Raw genomic sequence first — 23860 nt, forward strand, 5'->3', positions numbered from 1 at the left:
GAAATTGTTTAAGTTTAATGTCTCAATTACCTTATCTGAAATATGGACAATAATAATTCCTTTGTGGTGTCATTATCAGGCTTAAAAGTATAGTGCTGGCCGGGTACAGTGGCTCATGCCTGTAACCAGCACTTTGAGAGACTGAGATGAGTGGATCACAAGGTCAGGAGATCGAGACCATCCTGGCTAACACAGTGAAGCCCCGTCTCTACTAAAAATATAAAAAACTAGCCAGGCATGGTGGCACGGGCCTGTAATCCTAGCTACTCAGGAGGCTGAGGCAGGAGAATCGTTTGAACCCAGGAGACGGACGTTGCAGTGAGCCAAGATTGCACCACTGCACTCCAGCCTGGGTGACAGAGCAAGACTCTGACTCAAAAAAAAAAAGTATAATGCATATACAGTGCTTAAGACTTAATAAGTGCTTAATAACCAACAGCTGTTCTTGATCATAATCATCATTAGAGATAATATTAATCAAAAATAGAACAAAAAGAAAAAGAGTTGACAAAGTATGCTAACATCTTAAAAAATAAGTCTTTCTGTTGACAATGTATTGCATCTTTACAAATGTTATCTTTTTAAATACAAGTGTATATTAGTAAAAGATAAGTTGAGATCTGTATCTTAAATCAAAATAGATGCCAGATGAATTAAAGAATTAAATTTTAAAATGAAATGTTTGAAATATTAGGAAATAAGATTTGAGGTCTGTAGTGATAGAAGAAAAGATTAAAATTTTACACTATGTAATAGTAAAAAGCTCCGTATTTAAAAAGACAATGATATAAAAACACAGATACATTTAATAGATAATTTAATGGATATATCTTTTATATAATGAGTTTAAACAAATAAGAAAAACACTAGCTTCCAAAGGTAAACATGTACAAATACGTCACATAAAAATATTTCTAAAGCATTAAGAAATGTGAAGATAAATTGATTTCAATATTATTTTGTCTATTCAACAAAGATATATTTAAGAAGGGAACGTTTTGTGTGGGAAAGGATACAGAATATGAGGAAATAAATATAAAATAAGTAGCCACATGGTAGATTCAAACCTAACCCCACTGATAACTACATTAAGTGAAAATGATTTAAACACTTTGATTAAAAGTCACATGTTATAAGATTGAGTAAAAAAGTAATATTCAACTATATGTTATTACAAGAAACCCATTTAGAGTAAATATACAGAAAGGTAAAAGGATAGAAAGGAATACAAATGAAGAAACTAATTATAAGTAAGATAGAATGACTATACCAATACCAGATAAATAAACTTTAAAATAAGTTGTATTGGGGATAAAGAGGGACATTTCATAATAGTAAAGGGTACAATTAATCAAGGAGACATTGAATAACAGAGTTCCACAGGACATGGTTCAAGAAGTGACAGAAGTGAAAATAAGAAATAGGAAACTCCACAATTATCTTTGGATACCTCTGCACAATATCTCTGTAATTGATAAAACAGAAAAATCAATAGCGATATAGAATGCTTAGCCCTACAATCCATCTTGAACTAATCGACATTCCAGAATGGTCTACTCAACCAAAGAAGAACACATGGAGCATTCACAAAGATAGACTATATGATAGTCTATAAAATAAATCTTCATAAGTGGAAAAGGACTGACATCATGCAGAGTATATCTTTGGTCCACAATAGAATTAAAGTTGAAATCAATAACAAAACCCTATATGGAAAATCTGCAAACATATGAAAGTTAAACAGCACACTTCTAAAGACTATAAAAGGAAAACTGGAAAACATATTTAAGTGAATGAAATTAAAAATACAACATATCGAAATTAATGGAACTTAAAGAAATATTGGGAGGGAAACGTATAGTTCTAAATGCTTACATTTTAAACAGAGAGTTATAAATCAGTGATCTAAGCTTTCACCATAAGAAGCAAATTGGAAGGTGGTCAGGGGAGGGAGAGGATCACGAAAGATAACTATTGGGTACTAGGCTTAATATCTGGGTGATGAAATAATCTGTACAACAAACCCCTGTTTACCTATGCAACAAACCTCCACTGGTACCCCTGAGCTTAAAAGGTAAAAAAAAACAAAAAAAAAACCACTGTCCCTTTAAAATAATTACTTCTCATATCTTTTCTACATGTATGCATAATAAACCATGTCTTCCTCATTTTACATTGTGTGTTTTGTGAACCAAATATTTTATAATTATCTACTTTTTAAAGAAGCAAATTGAAGCCAAAGTAAGAAGAGAAATAATAATGATAATAGAGAAAATAGTAAACAATTAAACTAAAGGTTGATCATTTGTAAATGTCAATAAAATAAATAAACCTATAGCTAGACTTATCATGAAAATAAGGAGATTGCATGAATTGCCAATAGAAAAAATAAGAGTGAACATCACCATACATTGAGCAGATATTATAAAGAGGGAAATGTTCTGAAAACTTAATGCAAATAAAATAGACAACATTAGCTAAACAGGATAAATTCACTGAAAGACAAAGTAATCAAAACTAGTTAAGAAGACATAGATAACATGAATAGCTCCAAATAAAAATCACATTTCTAATTAAAAACTTTTCAACAAAGAAAACTCATGGTCATATGACTTCACTGATGAACTCTACCAGATATTTAAAGAGGAAATAATACTAATCCTGTAAAAATATTTCAAAATATATAGGAAGTGGGAAGACTTATCAACTTATTTTATCAGATCAGTGTTGACTTGTTACAAAAAACAAAGACATTATAAGAAAAGAACTACGTGAACTGGGTAATTTATAAAGAAAAGAAGTTTAATTGACTCAGAGTTCCACACGGCTGGGGAGGCCTCAGGAAACTTATAATCATGGAGGAAAGTGAAGGGGAAGCATGCACCTTCTTCACAAGGTGGCAGGAGAGAGAGAGTGAGAGGGAAGTGCCACACTTTTAAACCATTAGATCTCATGAGAACTCACTTACTATCATGAAAACAGCATGGGGTAAATCCATCCCCATTATCCAATCATCTCCCACCTGGTCCCTCCCCTGACATATGGGGATTACAATTCAACATGAGATTTGGGTGGAGACACAGAGGCAAACCACATTATTTTGTGCCTGGCCTCTCCCCAATCTCATGTCTTTCTCACATTGCAAAATACAACTGTCCTTTCCCAACAGTCCCCCAAAGTCTTAACTCATTCCAACATTAAGTCGAAAGTCCAAGTCCAAACTCTCATCCGAGATAAGGCAAGCCCCTTCTGCCTATGAGCCTGTGTAATCAAAAACAAGTTAGTTACTTCCAAGATACAATGGGGATACAGGCACTGGGTAAATGCTCTTGTTCCAAATGGGAGAAATCGGCCAAAACAAAGAGGCTACAGGCCCCGTGCAAGTGCAAAATCCAGAAGGACAGCCATTAAATCTTAAAGCTCCAAAATAATCTCCTTTGACTCCATGTCTCACATCCAGGGAATGCTGATGGCAAGAGGTGGGTTCCCAAGGCCTTGGGCAGATCCATCCCTGTGGCTCTGCAGGGTACAGCCCCCGCAGCTGCCTTCATGGACTGGCATTGAGTGTCTGTGGCTTTTCCAGGTGCACAGTGCAAGCTATCAGTGGATCTGTCATTCTGGGATTTGGAGGAAGGTGGTCCTCTTCTAACAGCTCCACTAGGCAGTACCCCAGTGGGGACTCTGTGTGGGGACTCCAACCCCACATTTCCCCTCTGCACTGCTCTAGTAGAGGCTTTCCATGAAGGCTCTGCCCTGCAGCAGACTTCTGCCTGGATATTCAAGCATTCCCACACATCCTCTGAAATCTAGGTAGAGGTTTCCAAACCTCAATTCTGGCCTTCTGCACACCTGCAGGCCCAACATCACATGGAAGCTGCCAAGACTTTACCTACTGATTCCAGTGACCAAATCTTTGCCGTGGTTTCTGTGTCTGAATCTTAACTCACTCAATACACTGCACCACATTCAGCACTTCTAAATCCAAAAACCTGAATAGTTATTTCTCACAGGAACCAGAGTCTCGTGCCAGTGCTCTCTGTTGCCAAATTTTCTACAGCTGTCACCTTTCTGAACATTGGTGGTTACTTAAGACTCAGTTTATTTCAGCTGCCTGGCCCTCCCGCAGCCTGGATTAGCCCATACCACCAATTTCCCGTCTCCAGACACCAAATTTTATTGGCACGGCTCAGTGGTTCTCAAACATCATTGTACACACCAAAGCTTGGATTTCACTTTATGACTAATTAGCTAAGAATGTCTGAGAGAGGGACCCACGTTTCTGTAATTTTAAAAACTCTCCAGTTGATTCTGAAATTCAGCCAGGGATAAGAAGCCTGAGAATAGAATGAGGTAAGTGATGGCACAAAGTGTAGGGAGCTCCAAAAAACTCAGCTATCAAGATAACATTTTACTATTAAAATACCTTTAAAAATCAAAATCACTGGAAAATAATCCATAATAAGCAAAACATCAAAAATGTAAGTAAGGGATTAGCACTTGGAGTCTGAGGCAAAAGGCAAAAATCATAATACTGATCTTGCCTTTTAAAAAAAGAAATGTTCTCCCATTTTTGTGCAGTTGTTTGCACATAGGGAACATTTATATTATCTGAGTTTACAAATAGAAAACCTACCTTATGAAATCATGCTTTGAAAATATAATTTTGCAAAGAGCATGAAATTGATTGAAAGTTTATTGAGAAGATGAAAGTTGATTGATAGTACCGTACTGAATAGGCAAGTCTGGGGTGGTAAACTCAGAAATGTAGCCTCTCCAGAGTTGAAAGAACAAGTTTAGGGGTAGAAGGAAGCGGGACCAAGGACAGTCTGAGTCAGTGCACAAGGGAGAGCGCCTTTATTAGAAAACCTGCCTGGTGGTCATCAGATGGTTGTCTCATCACCAGCTCAAATGCCTCATGGCCAAAGCTGAATCATAAAATCACTCCCCTGTCTCCCCAAATCCCTGGCCATTTTACACAGCTGACTCTTGTAATATTCTATTACTTCTAGTCAGAATGTCTTCATTTTCCCCACCTTTCAAAGGAAAGCTGTGCTTTTCTTCAAGGCTGTTCCTGAGAACAGAAGTTCTCAGAGGTTACGTTGCCTTAGAAGCCCTCTCTGTGCCTCAGCTGACTGCCCTGACCACCCACAAATGCCTTCCTTTCATAGTCCAAACCCTGTGATTGCACATTTTTAGTGCATATCTCTCTGTAACTGTTTACAAACCTGCTGCTCCCAATAGACCACAACCTACTTGGAGGTAAAAACAAAATTTTATGTACTAGCTGCCTGACACATAGTAGGACCTTAATAATTATGTGTTAAAAAAAACAGAGACACAGAAAAGAGACTCCGAATAATGGCCTTGCCTGTAAGTGTTGAAGAATGGCAATAAGAAAAGAATTGGAGTGGAGGTGGAATTGAGACAGCAGGTAGCAGTATATGGGTTCTCTCCTCTCATCTTGACAACTCAACTATAAGATTTGAAGTAAGCTGTTTTTAGGAGGCCTGAAGGCCAACTAAACTCCTTAGGGGAACAAGATGGGAAGATGGGATTTACGAAGTAAGACTTTTCAAGAGGAATTTTGGTTTGGAAGTGGTGGTGGTAGGGTGCAGTAAGGAGGAAACACCTTCATCTTAGAAAGCATTTTTCATTCTGAAAAGCAGGAGGCTAGACAAGAGACAAGCTTTTCACAGTAATCTCTGTCCTCTAGGCCAGGGAGAAAGGCATAGGGAATATCCATTGTCCAGCCTCCTAAACCAGGTGGAGGAGAAAACTAAAACTCAGACAAAAATCCTGCTTGGGATAAAAGAATGTGCATTTGGCTGGTGCCCTCCCTGTCTCTCTCAGGAACTTGGGTTTGATGCAGGGGTCAGAACTCAAACGGTGGCAGAAGGCAGGTATGCATGACTGAGAGATGCTGGAGGTAGTGTGGAGTGAGGAACCGGATGCACTTCCTGCACCAGGGACCCCTACAAACTCCTGACCACAACACCCACTCAGCCACAAATGATTATTTCTGTGAAGAAATGCAAGCCCCTGGTTGCCAGACCTTTCACGTGTTTCTGATAACAATCCCTAAAATTTAATATTCAATTTCTCAATTTTGAAAGGTAAAAAATAATAAATTGTGTTAAATCCCTTGGGCTTACCATGTACAGGCCAAACAATACATGTCTGAAGGCTGAACGTGGGCTCATAACTACAAATAATTGGGAAGGAGAAATGGGTATTCAAGGATTCCTCAATGGTTCAACGGGTGAAAGCCATTCAATATCATCCAGAACTTCACTTTCACCTTCATCTCATTGTTACCCATCCTTGTGCATGTTTTTGATATCCCTATGGTCCTGTCTACTCAAAATAGACTCTTCCATTGACCTCTTCTAGAGGTTTTGGTGTTTTTTGTTTGTTTGTTGTTGTTGTTGTTGTTTGGGTTTTTTTGGTTTTTGTTTTTTTGAGACAGAGTTTTGCTCTTGTCGCCCAGGCTGGAGTACAATGGCGTGATCTCGGCTTACTGCAACTTCTGCCTCCCAGGTTCAAGAGATTCTCCTGCCTCAGGCTCCCCAGTAGTTATGATTACAGACGTGTGCCACCACACCCAGCTAATTTTTGTATTTTTAGCAGAGACGGAGTTTTGCCATGTTGGCCAGGCTGGTCTCAAACTCCTGACCTCTGGTGATCTGCCCACCTCGGCCTCCCAAAGTGCTGGTGTGATCACAAGCATGAGCCACCGTGCCCAGCCTAGAGGTCTATTCTTAATCCACCAGTTACCTTACAGGAAATTTAGCTAAGGGTATTTTTCATTGTCAGTTAATAAAATAAAAGTGGAGAAGCATCAGCATTTGATGTATTCAGTTGGTATCTTGAGAAAAGATACATGTTTTCTGAGCTTCCATTAAAAAAATAGATTTAAGACAAGGCATAGTGCCTCACACCTGTAATCCCAGCACTTTGGAAGGCTGAGGTAGGTGGGTCACTTGAGCCCAGAAGTTCAAGACCAGCCTGTGCAAAATAACAAGACCCCATCTCTACAAAAAAATACAAAACTTAGCTGAGCGTGGTGGTGTGCACCTGTAGTCTCCGCTACACAAGAGGCTGAGGTAGGAGGATCACTTGAGCCCAGGAGGTCGAGGCTGCAGTGAGCTGTGATCATGCCACTGCACTCCAGTCTGGGTGACAGAGTGAGATCCTGTCTCAAAGTTAAAAAAAAAAAAACAAACTGTAGATTTGCCCACTGGCTACTTTAGAGAAATAATAATGCTGAAGTGTACTTTTCTTCAAAAGATGTGTCTATTAATTTTCATTTCAGAGGTTTGGTAACAGAATGGCACTGGTATAGATTTTTACTAGATGATTTTTCCACCTAGAAATAAACTGAGACAAAACATTGCTAGGTGGTTCATGTGACTGGAAATCCAGAGGACAGGTGAAGGTGAAAAGCACCCAGGGCCGATAGAGAGATTCTATAAAGTGGTCCAGAAATAAGAGTTGAAAAACTTAACAGACCCTACGCAGTTTAAATTGATGTTCTTAGCTCAAAGAGGCCTTTTAAAAATAATTGTTATAAGCATCAGAAGATTGCAGCTGAAATGGTTTGAAATCAACTTTAACTAATTTTCCATTCACAAAATATGAGAGGAGGAAGCCAATTGTACTGATTCACTTGAGAAACAGTACAAGGGTTTTCATAGTAGAGAAAGAGGTTGATTTCAGCTCAGACAGATATTTCAAGCTTCAAGGGCCATGTCTAGACTGAGAAGGATTTGCTAACCCCAAAGTCCTATCAAGCAAGGAGTGTAAATGTATTTCAGAGCAGCTCAGGTACTAGAGTTTCTGCAGAACTTAGATGATAAGCAACGACAAAGCCAGCTGCTTCTAGACCCCTGGCTTATGATTTCAGCTTTCCAAATTAAAGACTGTCTCATCAGCACATTTAATAGTAAATCCTCCAAGAGCAGAAGACTCTGAATCAGTGAGGACTGACTGGCATCTGTGAGTGTGTGTGAATGTATGTGTGTGTGTGTGTGTGTGTCTCTGTGTGTGAGAGAGCGAGCGAGCGTGTATGTTCTCATTAGGGGACGATCTATGATTTGACAGCCTCACTGCTGCTGCTCCTGCTGCTGCTTCTGCTTCTGCCGCGGCTGTATGGTTTGTCATTAGTTGGAAAGGGCTGTGAGGGTTTGGAGAAACTGCAGTTTTAAAGACTGAGCACTGCTAAGTGGTCTCCCTCTCAAATAGAGTAGACAAGATTTTCTGCAAGATTAGAAACTTGGAACTATTACCACTTCATCTACCCAGAAAATCAGGCAGCGCTACAGAGGATAAGGTAAGAGAAGAAATTGTCCTCTCTTGAATCTGTGGGGCAGGGGGCATGGGGAAATGTCATCTCAAAGGCTTGCTATTTTATACCAAAGACATCTCACCCTCTGAGAGCAAAAGAGGCAACAGCTAAATTTGTAACAAGCTTGATTATTGAGCTTCTTGGCTTTTTCCTCTGGTATCTTTTTCTTCTTTATTATACTTTTGCCAGGCATCTAAGAGGTGTATTCATATTTATTTTTCAGTTAGCAGATATTTAGTTTTTTTCAACTGGGCACTGTTTCAAAACAATTAGTTTTTACTGTTTCTCTTTCCTTAAGCATTTTTCTCCATTAAGAGGGAACTGGTCCCTCTTAATGTGAGCTGGTCAAAACAGTTACTCCATTCTACACTAGAGATGCAATAAAAGAAGTTTTAAGAAGTACACATGAGCCCTATTCCCATAGAAAAATGGGAAGTGAAAGGAGTGGAAGTGACGGTTATTTGTGATTGGGACTTGATCAGAAATTGTAACACTGTTAATGAATATGTACTATGACCCTTCACAGGGGGATGGAACTGCTGCAATAAAGGTGGGCGCTGGAAAGAAGATGTTTTGAGAAGTCAGTGTTTCCGAGAAACTTTAAGCTTCTAAAGATGGAAAACGAGACAGTCAGTGAACTGAACCAAACACAGCTTCAGCCACGAGCAGTGGTGGCCTTAGAATACCAGGTGGTCACCATCTTACTTGTACTCATTATTTGTGGCCTGGGCATTGTAGGCAACATCATGGTAGTCCTGGTTGTCATGAGAACCAAGCACATGAGGACCCCCACAAACTGCTACCTGGTGAGCCTGGCAGTAGCTGATCTCATGGTCTTGGTGGCCGCAGGCCTCCCCAACATAACAGACAGTATCTACGGTTCCTGGGTCTATGGCTATGTTGGATGCCTCTGCATTACTTACCTCCAGTATTTGGGAATTAATGCATCCTCTTGTTCAATAACAGCCTTTACCATTGAGAGGTACATAGCAATCTGTCACCCCATCAAAGCCCAGTTTCTCTGCACATTTTCCAGAGCCAAAAAGATTATCATCTTTGTCTGGGCTTTCACATCTCTTTACTGTATGCTCTGGTTCTTCTTGCTGGATCTCAATATTAGCACCTACAAAGATGCTATTGTGATATCCTGTGGCTACAAGATCTCCAGGAATTACTACTCACCTATTTACCTAATGGACTTTGGTGTCTTTTATGTTGTGCCAATGATCCTGGCTACCGTCCTCTATGGATTCATAGCTAGAATCCTTTTCTTAAATCCCATTCCTTCAGATCCTAAAGAAAACTCTAAGACATGGAAAAATGATTCAACCCATCAGAACACAAATCTGAATGTAAATACCTCTAATAGATGTTTCAACAGCACAGTATCTTCAAGGAAGCAGGTAAGCAAAACTGAAACTCCAAGTCAATAGAGGAAATGTGGGATAGAGTTCCTTGGAGATGGGAAACAACTTTTCCCTGTTTAGCTGATGGCGAAACCAAAATACAATCATGCAAATGTTTCACAGTGTAAGCTTCTGCCTAACATATTAAATCCATCTCTAAAGCAACTGAAGATCTAAAAATAGATAGGGAAAATTTGATAGCACATCAGCAGGCATCAGTTCAGGTGCTATTAAGATACAAAGAAATATAAACAGAAACTCTAGAAATTCACCTTTAATATGTTTATGCCTCTCTGGAAATGTTATCAGAATATTTGGAGAATTTCTGGCTTCTGTAGGAAATAATTCTATTGCATGATAAAGAATTATCTTTAAAAATTCTATTGCACAACAAATATTTGACAAGACAGTTTGAAAACAGGTTAGTTTAAAAATAAATGAAACTTTCTTTGCCATTCTATGGTTACTCACAATGGAGACATATACCTGAGAAAGGTTCCTGGACTTATTTTTGGTAGTCTTAGTGGGGAAAGATTCTATCACCCTCTCCTCCAGCTCCCTACACAGTGTCCCAGCATGCAGAAGCTGAAAATGCACTTTGCTCAGGAAATGTTCCAATAAAAAAGACAACATCAAGCTCAATTTTTCATAAAGAATGATTGAAATTTTTTTAAAAATCGGTTTTTTCCTGCTAAGCATACCTAAAAATTCTGTTATACTTTTAGATCACCTGAATGTGCATATAATTAGTTGAATAGTGGTTTTACTAGTGAACCAAGTGCAAAACTTTGTTGCAGTGTTTATGAAATGATATAGGAATAAAATACTTTTATATCATTTACACATTTATCTATATACAATTGTTCTAGGTTACTGACAAACTTAGCTTGAAGTTTCTTTTCCTTCTTTGTTAAACATAATGAACAGATGATAAATATTTATTCTCATAGCTGAAAAAAGAAATCTAAACTTGAAATCAACATGCTGATACTTTTAAATGGGTTGAATTTTCTCATATTTCTTGAAAGGAATATAGTTCTGTGTACATAGCTAGAAACTGAGTGTACTTTGTAAAAAAGTATACATATAATCATTCACACTGTTACTTCATAAACTCCAGCTGATATATGCATCGTAACTGGACACAGCAAAATAAACTGCTAAAAAATTTAAGTGTTTTAGATATGCATGAAATGAATAATGAGCCATAACTTAAAGGAAACATATACTGCATTTTAAATGGTGCTGTAATACTTGGTTTATATAATACTTATTATTAAAGATAACTAGATGACAGAAGAAAGACCTAAACAACTATTGTCAGCTCTTAGATTTCTTTTGCCTTGGATCTAGTAGTGATACCTAATATAAGGCTTATTCAGCCATTTATTACCCAAAACTTGATTAATGGAAATTTAGAGAGATCTATTGACTATCTTCCAAGACAAACATTGACAAATATAATAAGAAAGCAAAGAATATGTACATCTCAATTAGACACCAAACATGGGTTAATGTCTGCAGCAAGGAAGATCAGGGAGTAAATTCATTCATTAGACTCCAATTTGCATTCCTGCTATACATTTTTAAAACTTGTTTGTCTTGTCTAATGTCCTTTCTTTCCATTACAGTCATTAGTACCTATCAGCATTAATATGCTTTAATTTGCTAATTATGTTACATGTTCACAGTCTTATTTCAAAGCTGTTACCGATAAGCTGTCCTTACAGAGGCTGTATGATAGAAGAAAAAGCCAAAGACTTGGCTCCAAACAACCTTGGGCTTAAATGCCAGGATTCCATTCAAACTCTATAAACTTGGATAAGCAGAACTCTGTGAGCCTTAGTTTTGTCATCTGTTAAATGAGATAAATAGCAATATCCAAGATCAGTGTAAGGATCCATGAAATACCTCATGAAAAATGCCTAAATTGGAGTGGTGATTAACAACTGAGTATTAACTGGCTCCTTCTCAATTTTTAAAAATATTTTGGCAACTGTGAGGGAACTACAGGTTTTTCCTTAAAAATACACATTCACTGCTTTAACAAAGATTACTTGTTGAACAAATGTGTATATGACGTGGTAACTTCTTTAAGGAGTTTTTTTAAATAATTAGAGCATTTGGAAATACATTCTGAGCATTTGGGGTTGTCACATTAACACCACTGTCAGTTAGCCTCCAAGAATAAGGAATGAAGTTCCCTTGTTGCAAATACCAATAACACCCTAATTGAGAAACATGGAGTGACACATAAGCCAATAGGAGTGTATTTAAGTAGTGTGTCTTGTAATTCAACCCTGATTATAGATGGGATGTGAGTTCAGAGAAAAGAAGGAAAATTACTGGGCTACAGGGATCAGAGAAGTCTTTATGGAAGAGGTGGCATTTGAGATGGCTCTGGAAGGATGAAGATAATTTGAAAAGTAAAAGTCAAGAAGGACAGTATTCCATGCATAAAGGACAAGACATAGTGGCTGGGATGAGAATGGCATGGGTTTGGAGAGGGGCCAAGAAGGGGCACATAGAGTGGGACTTATGTGATGGAGCGACTTAGTTGTCTGAAATGAATGATGTATTTGTGGGAGTGGTAAAAAGTAAGACTGGATTGATGTGTGAAAGTGAAAGAAGAGAAAGAGACAGAGAGACAGAGAAGGCTGTGGAGGATCCAGACAATCAGGCAAAGAAAGGAATTTGCACTTAATGCAGAGGCAACAAAGAATGTGAGTGATGAGCAGGGAGCAGCAGTGATGAAATGGTGTTCAGGGATGAGAAATCTGACAGCCGTCGGGGAGGCAGATTTGAAGAGAGAGAGATTGGTGGAAGAAAGACCACTTTGGAAGTTGTTAGTAGTGATACAGGCATGAGGCAGTAAGATCCTCTATCAGGAGAATTTAAAGTAAAGAGTATACCAGAAAGATGTTTCAAAGAAAGAAAGGGTGTGATGTGAACATATTAGACATAAAGGATGAAGAAAGGACAATTCAATATGGCCCCAGGATTCTGAGTCTGGAAGAATGTGGTGCCCCGATCAGTGGGAATGAGAACAGTGAAGGGGAGCTAGTTTTGTACAAAATTAGTGACCTGCTTTTTTCTTCTTCCAAAATAGTTATTTTCTTAAACCTTTGAAAGGTTCAAACCTCCACCTTCTATAGCCAAAGGACTTTAATTTTAATATTTTCTCTGCATTTTTTTCTTTTAGGAAAGTTTAACTTACAGTTTAATAAATACTCATCTGGGTCAGGTCTTTCTAATCAAGTTCTTAAATTCAAATGTGCATAGCCTAAAAGAGAAACATTTAAAAAGGAAGTAAAAGAGCATTTACATGTAAGGGACAAATGTGAGTTTCTTCCTTATTTGTTTTTAACTTTCATTCTCTATGCAGAAAATCCAGGCCAAAATCTTTGTTTTCTTTTATTCAGAGATTCAATTATATTTTAGGAAAACATCTAAATGTTGGGTAAATTCCGTAAGATAAATTACCCAAACTTATGGCTTGGAATTGTGTAAACTAAACGGATTATCTGACTAAATACATTGCTTTTATAGTTTGTTATTTTAATATAAAGGAGACATTGTTTAAATTATCATATTTGTCTCATTTCAGCTCTATCTACACAATGCCTCAAGAGTCCCTCAGTTCAGTCAATTCAGGGGTTCAACATTATGTAGATACAATATCTCTATCATTGACTGTGTATTTCTATGTAATTGATTGGATTTTTGGTATTTTGAAAGCACAGAAACACCTGAACATCTTAGTAAAATGTAATATCAATAAATACATTCAATTCAAATATGTACTTTCTACAGGATGCAGAAATATGCAGAATATTTTATAGATTTATAAAACAGGCTACCAGTTTTATTATCAATGGAGTTGCTTCAATAATTTTTTTCTTAATTCTTACACAATAACAAGTAGAGAAACCATGTAACATAGTCTTAATAGAAGCTCTAAGAGTAATGGCAGAATTTTTACTATGGAATTCACTTGACTCATCAAGCCTTAAAAATATCGGTCTTTGTTTCCATGAAACTATTAAACATCTAGAAGGAATATTGGTAGCCCAAGAAACAGAAACAACTTTCCTTTTTATTTATTATTTATTTATTTATTTTTATTTTATTTATTTATTTATTTATTTTTGAGATAGAGTCTCCCTCTGTAGCCCAGGCTGGAATGCAGTGGCAGTATCTCAGCTCACTGCAACCTCTGCCCCCAGGATTCTAGAGATTCTTCTGCCTCAGCCCCCTGAGTAGCTGGGATTACAGGTGTGCGCCAACACACCTGGCTAATTTTTTTCTATTTTTAGTAGAGACAGGGTTTCACCATGTTGGCCAGACTGGTCTTGAACTCCTGACCTCAGGTGATACGCTAGTCTCGGCCTTCCAAAGTACTGGGATTACAGGCTTGAGCCACCGCACCCGGCACAACTTTCCTTTTTAAAGTAATGCACGCCTTTTGCTGTTATTGGTGATAATGACAATGATGCTATAAAAGCAGTCATGTGTATTATGGAAAATATAGAAAACTAGGAATAGGCAAAAGCCATCTCTTACCTCCTGACCCCACCTCTCAAAGACCAAAATCATCATCATTTTGTTATACCGCTTTTCTTATGTTTTCACTGGATCTTTTTTTTTTTTAAACACAATTATAGTCAAATGTATATGTAGTTTTGGCTTCCTGGTTTTCCACATACAATTTTGGAAATAATATTCTCAAAGAGAAAGCACAAGGCAAAGCAAAAGAAAGTGATCAGGATTAAGTTTGTTTCTCTGAGCCTCAGTTTTCTCATCAATAAAACAGGAAAAATAATGACCTCATAGTGCTATTGCTGAAGTCATATGAGATATATCAGAAAAAATTCAGATCTGCTTTCCTCCCACCTGTCCAGCCACCTACTCTTCCCTCTCTCCCATGTGTCTCAGTGATCCCCACCTCGCTGGGCACCCTCCTGACCCTCTCTTAAGCTCTCCTCAGTCATACAATGCTCATGGAAAATGAAGACACTCAGATAAAGAACTGGCTTCCATGTGTCTTCCGTCTTCTCCCCTGCCTCACTCCAACTCCTACCTCTAGTGCTATTTACTTTTTTTTTTTTTTTTTTTTTTTTGAGACAGAGTCTCACCCTGTCACCAGGCTGGAGTGCAGTGGTGCGATCTCGGCTCACTGCAACCTCCGACTCCCGTGTTCAAGCAATTCTCCTGCCTCAGCCTCCCGAGTAGCTGGGATTACAGGCATGCACCACCATGGCCAGCTAATTTTTGTTTTTTTAGGAGAGACGGGGTTTCACCACGTTGGCCAGGATAGTCTCGATCTCCTGACCTCACGATCCGCCAGCCTTGGCCTCCCAAAGTGCTGGGATTACAGGCATGAGCCACCATGCCCGGCCTATTTACTTTTTAAAGAATACATGTTTTGGGGTATGAATGAATGTTTAATTAAATTTGGGGAAGATATTGAACAATAATGACCTACTGCAAAATTTTACTTAGTGTTGACCCAGCTCTACCTTTAGAACTTTTGCTTTCCCTCCAACTCATTTAAAAAAAAAAAAAAAAGACTAAGAAGATAGTTACCGACCAGCCTTCACCTGTCTGGAACTTGGGGTATTAGTTTGCATTTTGAAGAATTCATGAGAGGCTACGTAAAACCTGTAAGACACATAGGAAAGGAGGCACAATGTTGGAATGTCAGGCAGTAGGCCTGGCATTTGGGACCATAAAATCTCATAAATTGTAAACGTAAGCAGCTGCCAGCTCCACCTACATCTAAGAGAACCTTTACTCAACAGACTCATTCTTCTCCCCAGGTAGCTTAATCAATGGTTAAGCTCACAAGGCAAATTAATGGTATTAAACTCTTCAGCATTAGGCCTAAATTAGAGGTTTCCTGAGAGTACTGAGGCTACAGGCTCATCTTTCATTTTTTTTTTTTCATTTTTCAAAATTTTTTTAGAGATGGAGGCCTTGCTCTGTCATGCAGGCTGGTGTGCAGTGGTGCAATCATAGCTTACTGCAACTTCTACCTCTTGAGTTCAAGAAATCATCCTGCTTCAGTCTCCCAAGTAGCTGGGACTACAGGTGCACACTGCTGCGCCCAGCTTATCTTTCATTTTTAATTGTATTATTTATTCCAATGTCTGGGTTCAACTATATACTTAATAGTGTAAATATCTCTAAGTTCAGGAGAAAAATGTGTAATTTTTGTGACAGCTCACAGCTAAGTGTGCCATTTTATTTTTATTAAAGAATAGTTTTCTATTTTCTGATTCACATCCTGTATAAGAAAAGATTTTGTACATATCCTATAAGTTGACTAATAATCTCCTAAAGTTGTGTGTTTTGTGTGCTTTTAGATAAGTACACATTGTTTATTCCTAATTTTATATTTGCATGTTGCAAATATAAAATTAGGAATAAACAATGTGTCTTTATGAATAATTGAGCAATAATTTCACTAGCAGATAAAAATAAATTATTCCATATGCCTACAAAAAAGAAAGACCTATGCTCCTATAGAATTCAATCTGATCACACAAGAAACATCATAAAATCAGCTAAACTTGAAGATGACAAACTACTTTATACTTCTTTACATAGTCTCTCATTAATTCTTCAACATGCACACAGATACTCCAAGTTCCAGACAGATGAAGTCTGATTGGTAAGTATGTTCTTAGTCTCCTTTAGGTTTTTTTTTTTAATGAGTTGGGGTAAAAAGCAAAAGTTATAATGCTCGAGCTGGGTCAGTGTTAAGCAAAATTTTGCAGTAGGTCATTCTTATTCAATATGTCCCCTAATTTAATTAAACATTCATTCACATCCAAAAAGCCCCTAGCACTATCCTAGGTATAGAGGCTACAGGGATATATAAAGACAAACTCTTTGTCTTCAAGGAGCTTAATATGGGCCATGTACACAAACAATTCTGAGCATACCACTACATTCTATGAGAGAGAACGTGGCATCAATGAGAGGAGAAAGAAAATGGGGGGAGGCTTTTGGAGTACATGGTATTTGAACTGGACCTATAAAGGTGTGATGAATGTCTACAAGCAGCTATAAAGTCAGAGAAAAAAGAAGGAAAGTTCAACAGAAAGGGGGAAGTAGATGGGAGAAGACTGGGCACGTTCAGGGAGGGAATAATCTGGTATTGTTGAAGCAAGCTATGGAAGGGAAGCGTCTAGAGAAGGAAGTCTGAGCCAGATTGTGGTCCTGCTACACCTAATTCCCGCCTCTCCTCCCCATCCTGTCCCTTGTCATTCTACATACTTTCTTCTACGCCCATGCTTACAACTTTCACCTGAGTCTTCAGTGTGTAGCTTCAGAAAAGACATCTCCTGACCCATACATACAATTGCTTTTTGGACATCACATAATTACACCAAATCCAATAGGTCTAAAGCAAAACACATTATTTTGCCTTATAAACTTCTACCTCTTTCTTTCTTTCCTGTGTTAGATTCCCAAACCAGAAACCTGGGGGTCCTTCTAAGTGCCTTTTTCTCCTGTTATCCCCCCGCCCCCCATAGCTAAGCAATAGCCACATCCTAGTGATTCCAGCTCATTATTCTCCTGCTGACCTACTTCTCCACTCGCACCGCTGCTGCCCTGGTTCACTGCCTCTCACTGCCCTATTTCACTGCACACCTTACCAGCCTCTCTGGCTCCCATGGCACTCTCCTCCAAATCATTCTGCACATTGCTCACTAAAGGATCTCTCTAACACAGAGATACTATTTGCATAATTTTTACACTCCCCTGAGCACTGGAATTTTAACTCCTTAGCGTCACAAGTAAGAGCTTGTCCCTTTCCTACATTTTCGGCTTCCTCTCACGTGGCTCTCCCAACTTACATATTACGCTCCAGCAATTCTGAATTATTTGTAGTTCTCTGAACATGCTGCGTTCCCTAAGCTGGAACACTGTTCATCTTGCAAACTCCCAATTATTTTTCAAGTCATAAATCAAATGATGCCCAGCCACCTCATCAAGCCTTCACTGAATTTCTCAGGTAGATTTATATAGCTGCATTCCTAACTACATATATGTTAGGTGTTCTTCCTATATTTCCACAGTACTTTGCATACACATGTGCTTTAGTAATTCTTGGTCCTCATAATTGGTAGCATGTCTTCCCACTCTCACTAACATCCCAAAGAGTAGGGCCTTGCATTGTGGTACCCTCAGCCCTGCATTTGGCTACAGTAGGTTCCCCAAAGTGTACACACTCAGTGGTGTGTAGCTGCCAAGGAGTACAGGCTTTGCAAGAGCAGGTGATTAGTCTCACTCCCCAACTCCGCATTCAGTGCCATCACACTGGTGGCTTAAAATTGGTCATGGTTGAATTACTTACTTTACAAAATCAGCAAATATGACAAGCCAGGGCCCCCTCTTTTTTTGTGGAGAGATGGTTGTTAAATACTTATCAGCACACTTTTGTGTTTGTGTGTATGTATATATACAAATATATGTGTATATATATATAAAAAAACATGTAATTTTACAAATATAGTAAATGAAAGTGTGAAAGAGTTCATTCGTACGGACTTAGGGTCTCGGTCAAGTCCAACACTCTATTTTGCTTCCTGAAAAATTATCCTTACATGTGACATATTCTTCTCTGATTTTACTTAAAATCTCCTTGTCTTTTATTAAATCTTTTTTGAATTCCCAAAATAACAAAAGTGCAACTTGCCAGTACGATGGTGATTGTGTTAGTGGAGAAGATGTTTTAGGAAGATTTCCCCCTCCAAATAGGACAGGCTGATTTGGAAACATGGCAAACTCAGATAATTGACTTCATTGTACAAGAACCTGTTGGCTTTCCCATGAACCTTTAAATTCCCTCCACAATAAAAGAGCTACCTTGGACAGAAGGCATAGAGAGGCAGAGAAATGACCACCCAGGGAAGGGAAACAAAATGAACAGAGGTATAAAGATGAGAACAAATTCATTTGAGTGCCCCTAGGTGACTAATTTTCCTCAAACAGTTTTCACACATCATCTTCTTAAAAATATATATATATATCTCCAAGCTTCTCTGAGGGCTTTCAACACCCTTTAAAATATGACCCTTTCATCCCTTTTCTGTCTTTGTTCATCCGTTATCTCTTCAATTCAATAAACATGTATTGAGCACCAATTTTATACCAGGTATTGTCTAAAAAGAACCAATAATACTCTCCTCTGGAACATTCAGTAGAATATGAAAGATCTACGTTAAAACATAAGGTTAAGCTGTGCAGTGTACAGAAGAGACAAGAAAGTGGTACTTACTGTGCATAAGGTTGAAGAGCAAGCCCCCAGTGGGATACAAGTCACTCTCAGGCTTGAAAAATGAGTAGGCATTCACTAGGCCAACATAAAATACAAGAAGACCCTCCAGTCTGCAGAAGTAGTCAATGAGGCCAGAAAAACAAAGCCCAAGACCACCACCAACACCTGCCTTCTCAGTTTTCTCTTCAAGCTATTGAGCAATGCCAGAGAATATCACATTCTACAGACAATGGTTTCTTCACCCTTGGAGTTTCCATTCCAAATGGGCCCTCAGGGATTTCTGTCTATACATTTGCAGAACCATAATCAGTTTCCTCTTTTTATTCCTTAAATTCCTATTTCAAAATTCCCTACTGTCCTCATGTCATTATACATGGAATTCTTTCCTCTGAAATTCCTCCCACATCCAGTATCTCCCTTCTATTTTATGACCGCAGTTCCAGTTCCACTGTGTCCTCTCTGCACTGTAGGCAAGAAGGCTGATCTCCTGCCTTGCCACATGTGAAGAAGCCTCCTTCCAATCCCCCTGCCTCTTTTCTTTTTTCTTTTTTTTTTTGAGACAGTATTGCTTTGTCACTCAGGTTGGGGTGCAGTGGCTTGATCTCGGCTCACCGCAGCCTCAACTTCCTGGGCTCAAGCAATCCTCCCATGTCAGTCTCCTGAATAGCTGAGACTACAGGCGTGTGCTACCATGCCTGGCTAATTTTGTTCATTTTTGTATAAAGACGAGGTCTCACTATGTTGCCCAGGCTGCTCTCAAACTCCTGGGCTCAAGGGATCCTCCTACCTTGCCCTCCCAAAATGCTAGGATTACAGCCATCAGCCATTGCATCCCCCAACCCACACCCTGCCTCTTGATTGCCCTCCTCCAGTTCTTCTTCCAGGGTGCTTGCTGCTAGAATCATCTAAAATGCAAACTTGCTACCATCACTGTGCTGCCTGAAATCCTTCAATCTTCGCATTTTCTATATGCTGAAATCCCAAGTCACTATCTTGCCATACTAGGACATTTATGATCTGCTCCCTGCTTACTTTCCCAAACTCATCTGCCCTCTGTCCCCCAACACACCCTCATACAGGCAATTTCTGTCTCTGTTACACTCTTTCATGCCTGCAAGCCAGCATGCAGACTCCTCCAGTCTTGAGCACTCGGTAGCCCGTTATTTGACCTGTTTCTTTCTATCCTCCCTGTGGTAGGTCACCTCTCAGAGCAGGCTTTCCTGACCACCACTGGCAGGGTTTGGTGTTTCTCCCTTCCCTTTATATCACTTTGTGCATTCATCTGTATGGTTCACCATTTTGCCGTTAATAATTTTTTCAAATGCCCCTTTCTCTCAGCGGATTGTGCATCCCACAATGGCAGAAACGTGATCCTATTTATTGTTGTGTCCACGGTGCCTCCATGGTGCCTAGGGACATACTGATAAATTACTAAACTAGTAAAGCCTGGATATACAGGATAAGAACATGGAAGAATCAAATATGACTCTAAAGATGTTTTTCAGGAAACAGAAAATGGTAGAATTATTGAAAGAAATTGTAAGGGAGAGATTACAGAGAGACATCAAGAGGAGGAGTTTTATGGAGGAGTTAGAAATATGGGATTGGAAGTGAGTGGTCAGGATCAGGCAAAGTGGATTTGTGAATCATAATAATGGAAAGGTGTGGTGGCGGTTGAATTTAAAGCATGAAGAGCAGACTGACAAACACTGAGGTCTAGAATATTTACAAATAGGAGGCTAAAATGGGATGGGAGACTTAGCTAGAAATAAAAGGACCTATTTTCTCCTCTTGGACATGGCTAGAGGGCCAAAGACACGTTTTAGTGGATTCTCTCAGTTGGGAGTAAAATTAAAGAAAAATGAGCCAAGGAGCAAGGGGAGACGCAGTTAAAAGAATAAATTAAAAGAGTAAGTGGATTTATCTAAAACAGAAGTCATGGTCTTGCCACTGGAGTCAAACACGACACTTGAGAGCTGCATGGAAGTACATGAGAAGAACTTGAATAAATTTAAAGCTAATTTAGCTCTGAGAATTAAACAAGGCCACATACATATGCACATGGATTAGGATGCATAATGTGAAACACTTGACAGCCATATTCAGTTGAAATAAAAATAGATAACATTTCAAAAAAGAAAACACTGCAACCTTTCATAAACAACACTGGTGACTTTTGGCTATAATCCTTGGATAGATTGCTCTGAATATAATTATATAGTAGCTGCAAGAAAGTAAATCATCCTATGCCTCTCCATTCTGGGCCTTTGTTGTTTGAGTTTTATGAGGATTTATGACTATGGGGAAACTCAGCATATTTTCTGTGGGCAGCAGCTCTTAGCTTAGAAAATAAGGAAGTGGCTCAGTGAGAGAGGTGGCACAATTGTGAGAGTGAGAGAGGACAGAGGCAGGGTGAATGCAGAGCACCCCATGAATTTTTAAAGATCATTTTTGTGTAGTCAAGTGACTCAAGCCCCTGGCAATGTGCAGAATTGACACCCTGCCATGTTTCCTCTGATAGGAGTTCGGCTTTGTGACTAATTTTACTTGACAAACATTTGAAAGATTATGCACACATAAAATTCAGTAGGGGAGGGCAGGAGAAAGTAATTCACTGGTAGATTTTCTGTTTTACCAGGAAAAATAGGAATAGGCTCAGATTCAGAGTATATTTACGGGAGAAATATTTAACTAGAGATTATAAGGGGCTAGGATGGACCTCCAGGGATTTCTTTAGGAATCAATTGGAAATCTCTCTGAATAAGTTAAAAGCAATCAAATCAATACGTTGGCATAAAACAACTGCAGTGCACAGTAGAGGTGCTATCCTGGAATTAAGCATGGTTTTTTTTTTGAATTCTAAAATAGTAATTCTATTATTACAATCCCTTCCAGCATGTTATATTATATGGGACAGGAAAATGGTGAAAGTAAGGATCAGATAGATTCGGACAGATTTGCATCTCCTCACCTATGATTTAATTAAAAACATACTAAATGTCAGGGACTTTATTAGCCATTAGGATGCAAAAATGATTAAAACAAAGCTTATGCTCACAAAAACATTCACAATCTAATACAGAAGACAGAATAGTAAGCTGATAAAGTCATAAAGAAACAAATGTTATCATAGTAAAAACACAAATTAGTGGCACCTGATCTACATGGCTTGTGGAGAGGCGGGCACCAGAAAGGCTTTCTGGAAAGGAGCACTCTTAAGCTGAGCATTGTGGATTCACAGGCATTTTGTAGGTGAAGGGAAGGAAGATGGTTTATGTACTAGGACCTACACAGGTGAAGACCAGAAATCTAGAAATAACACAATCAGTCCAGAAAATGGCAAGTAGTTCCTTAAGTCTGGGCAACAAAAGATGAGCCTAGTGAGGTAAGCAGAGATCAGGAAATAAGGCCTTTATTTAGTATATATATGAAAGATTTGGACAAGCTTCTAATGGCTATGGAAAGATATTGGGAGATTACAAGGCAAAGAGTGTTGTAATCAGAGTTAAGTTTGGGGAAGACCACTCTGTCTCCAATGTGGCCAAATAATTGGACCAAAGTCAAAGCCATTAGGAGAGGACTGGAACAATATGGGCAAGATACGAATCAATCTGCAAGGGCCTAACAGAATAAGGTAAATAGCATTGAGGATAGGGAAGAAAATGATACATTTGGAATAGAATCAATAGAGTTGGTGTGAGAAGATGTGTAGAAAGCGGAATAGAAAGGAGTCAAAGTGACTTTACTTGAACCATGGAGAGAGAAAGTGGTGTGACTGTTGAGAGCCTGAATTCCAATTTCACCCCTTGGAGCGAGAGCCAGGTTTGGCTGCAGACTATGTGACGTGAACAAGTTAACTTACAACCTTGAGCCTCATTTGTATATCTATAAAAAGAATGATAACAGTACCTATCTCACAAGGTAGTTATTAGGGTTGAGTGCAAAATTTCATATACAGTACTTCTCACAGTGCCTGGAACATGGAAATAATAAATGTTAGCTACTGTTATTATTAATTGAATAGTGTAACTTATGTAAGTGTTGACAACAGTAGAGAAGAAACATATTTCAGTAGGTTAAGCATGTCAGGTTTAGTTTTGTCCATGTTGTACTTGAAGCGTCTATAAAATACCAGGATACAAATAGAAATACAGATTTAAGGCTCAGAAGAAACATATAGACTGGAGATATAGCTTTGGGATTAATTAGTATAGAGATGGTTTGTTGAAGACACCAGAGTAGATGTGATCACTACAGGAAATTTTGTAAAGTAGAAAAGAAACTCTGGAATAGCTAGAATTCTGGGAGAATGAGATGTAGGGCCTTTGAAATAAACAGCGAAGGAATATTCAGAGAGGGAAGAGGAAAACCAGGAGAAAGAATCACAGAAATCAAAGAAGGAGACTATTTCAGTAGTGGTCAATGATAAATGTAAAGATAAGGACTGAGAAGTACCCAGTTTCTGAATGCAATTTCCATAAGGTGTTGGGGAAATAAATAAGATTGCATAATGTTGCTGAATGATGAATGGAGGAAAAACTAAAAAGAGGGTAAGAATATACTGCTGTCTTTACAAGCTTGATTATGAGAGAGAACAGTAATAACATGGAGAAACGAGGCAAGGTATTTTTGTCTGCTTTATTTTGCTTTACTTCTTAAGATAGAAGAAATCTATGTCTGTTTAAATTTTGATGGGAAAGAGCTAGTAGAGTGGAAGGAATTATTTGTAGATGCACAAGCAAGACTTGATATTGATGGCGCATGGTTCCTGAGGAGGCAAGAAGGAATAGGATAGGGCTCATCCTTCTTTTTCTTGTCAGA

The 23860-nt window shown here is 38.6% G+C and overlaps 1 protein-coding gene across 1 annotated transcript in view; it reads left to right on the plus strand.

Annotated features, from left to right (window-relative positions):
- TRHR (thyrotropin releasing hormone receptor) overlaps window positions 8031-23860 on the plus strand; it is a 34981-nt gene continuing 19151 nt past the window's right edge. Inside the window, exons 1-2 of the mRNA NM_003301.7 lie at window positions 8031-8329; window positions 8871-9747. Of these exons, the coding sequence (NP_003292.1) occupies window positions 8959-9747 (789 nt within the window). The 5' untranslated portion in view covers window positions 8031-8329; window positions 8871-8958. The remainder of the gene's footprint in view (window positions 8330-8870; window positions 9748-23860) is intronic.

The sequence above is a fragment of the Homo sapiens genome, chromosome 8 (assembly GCF_000001405.40).
Source record: "Homo sapiens chromosome 8, GRCh38.p14 Primary Assembly".
NCBI classification, from domain to species: domain Eukaryota; kingdom Metazoa; phylum Chordata; class Mammalia; order Primates; family Hominidae; genus Homo; species Homo sapiens.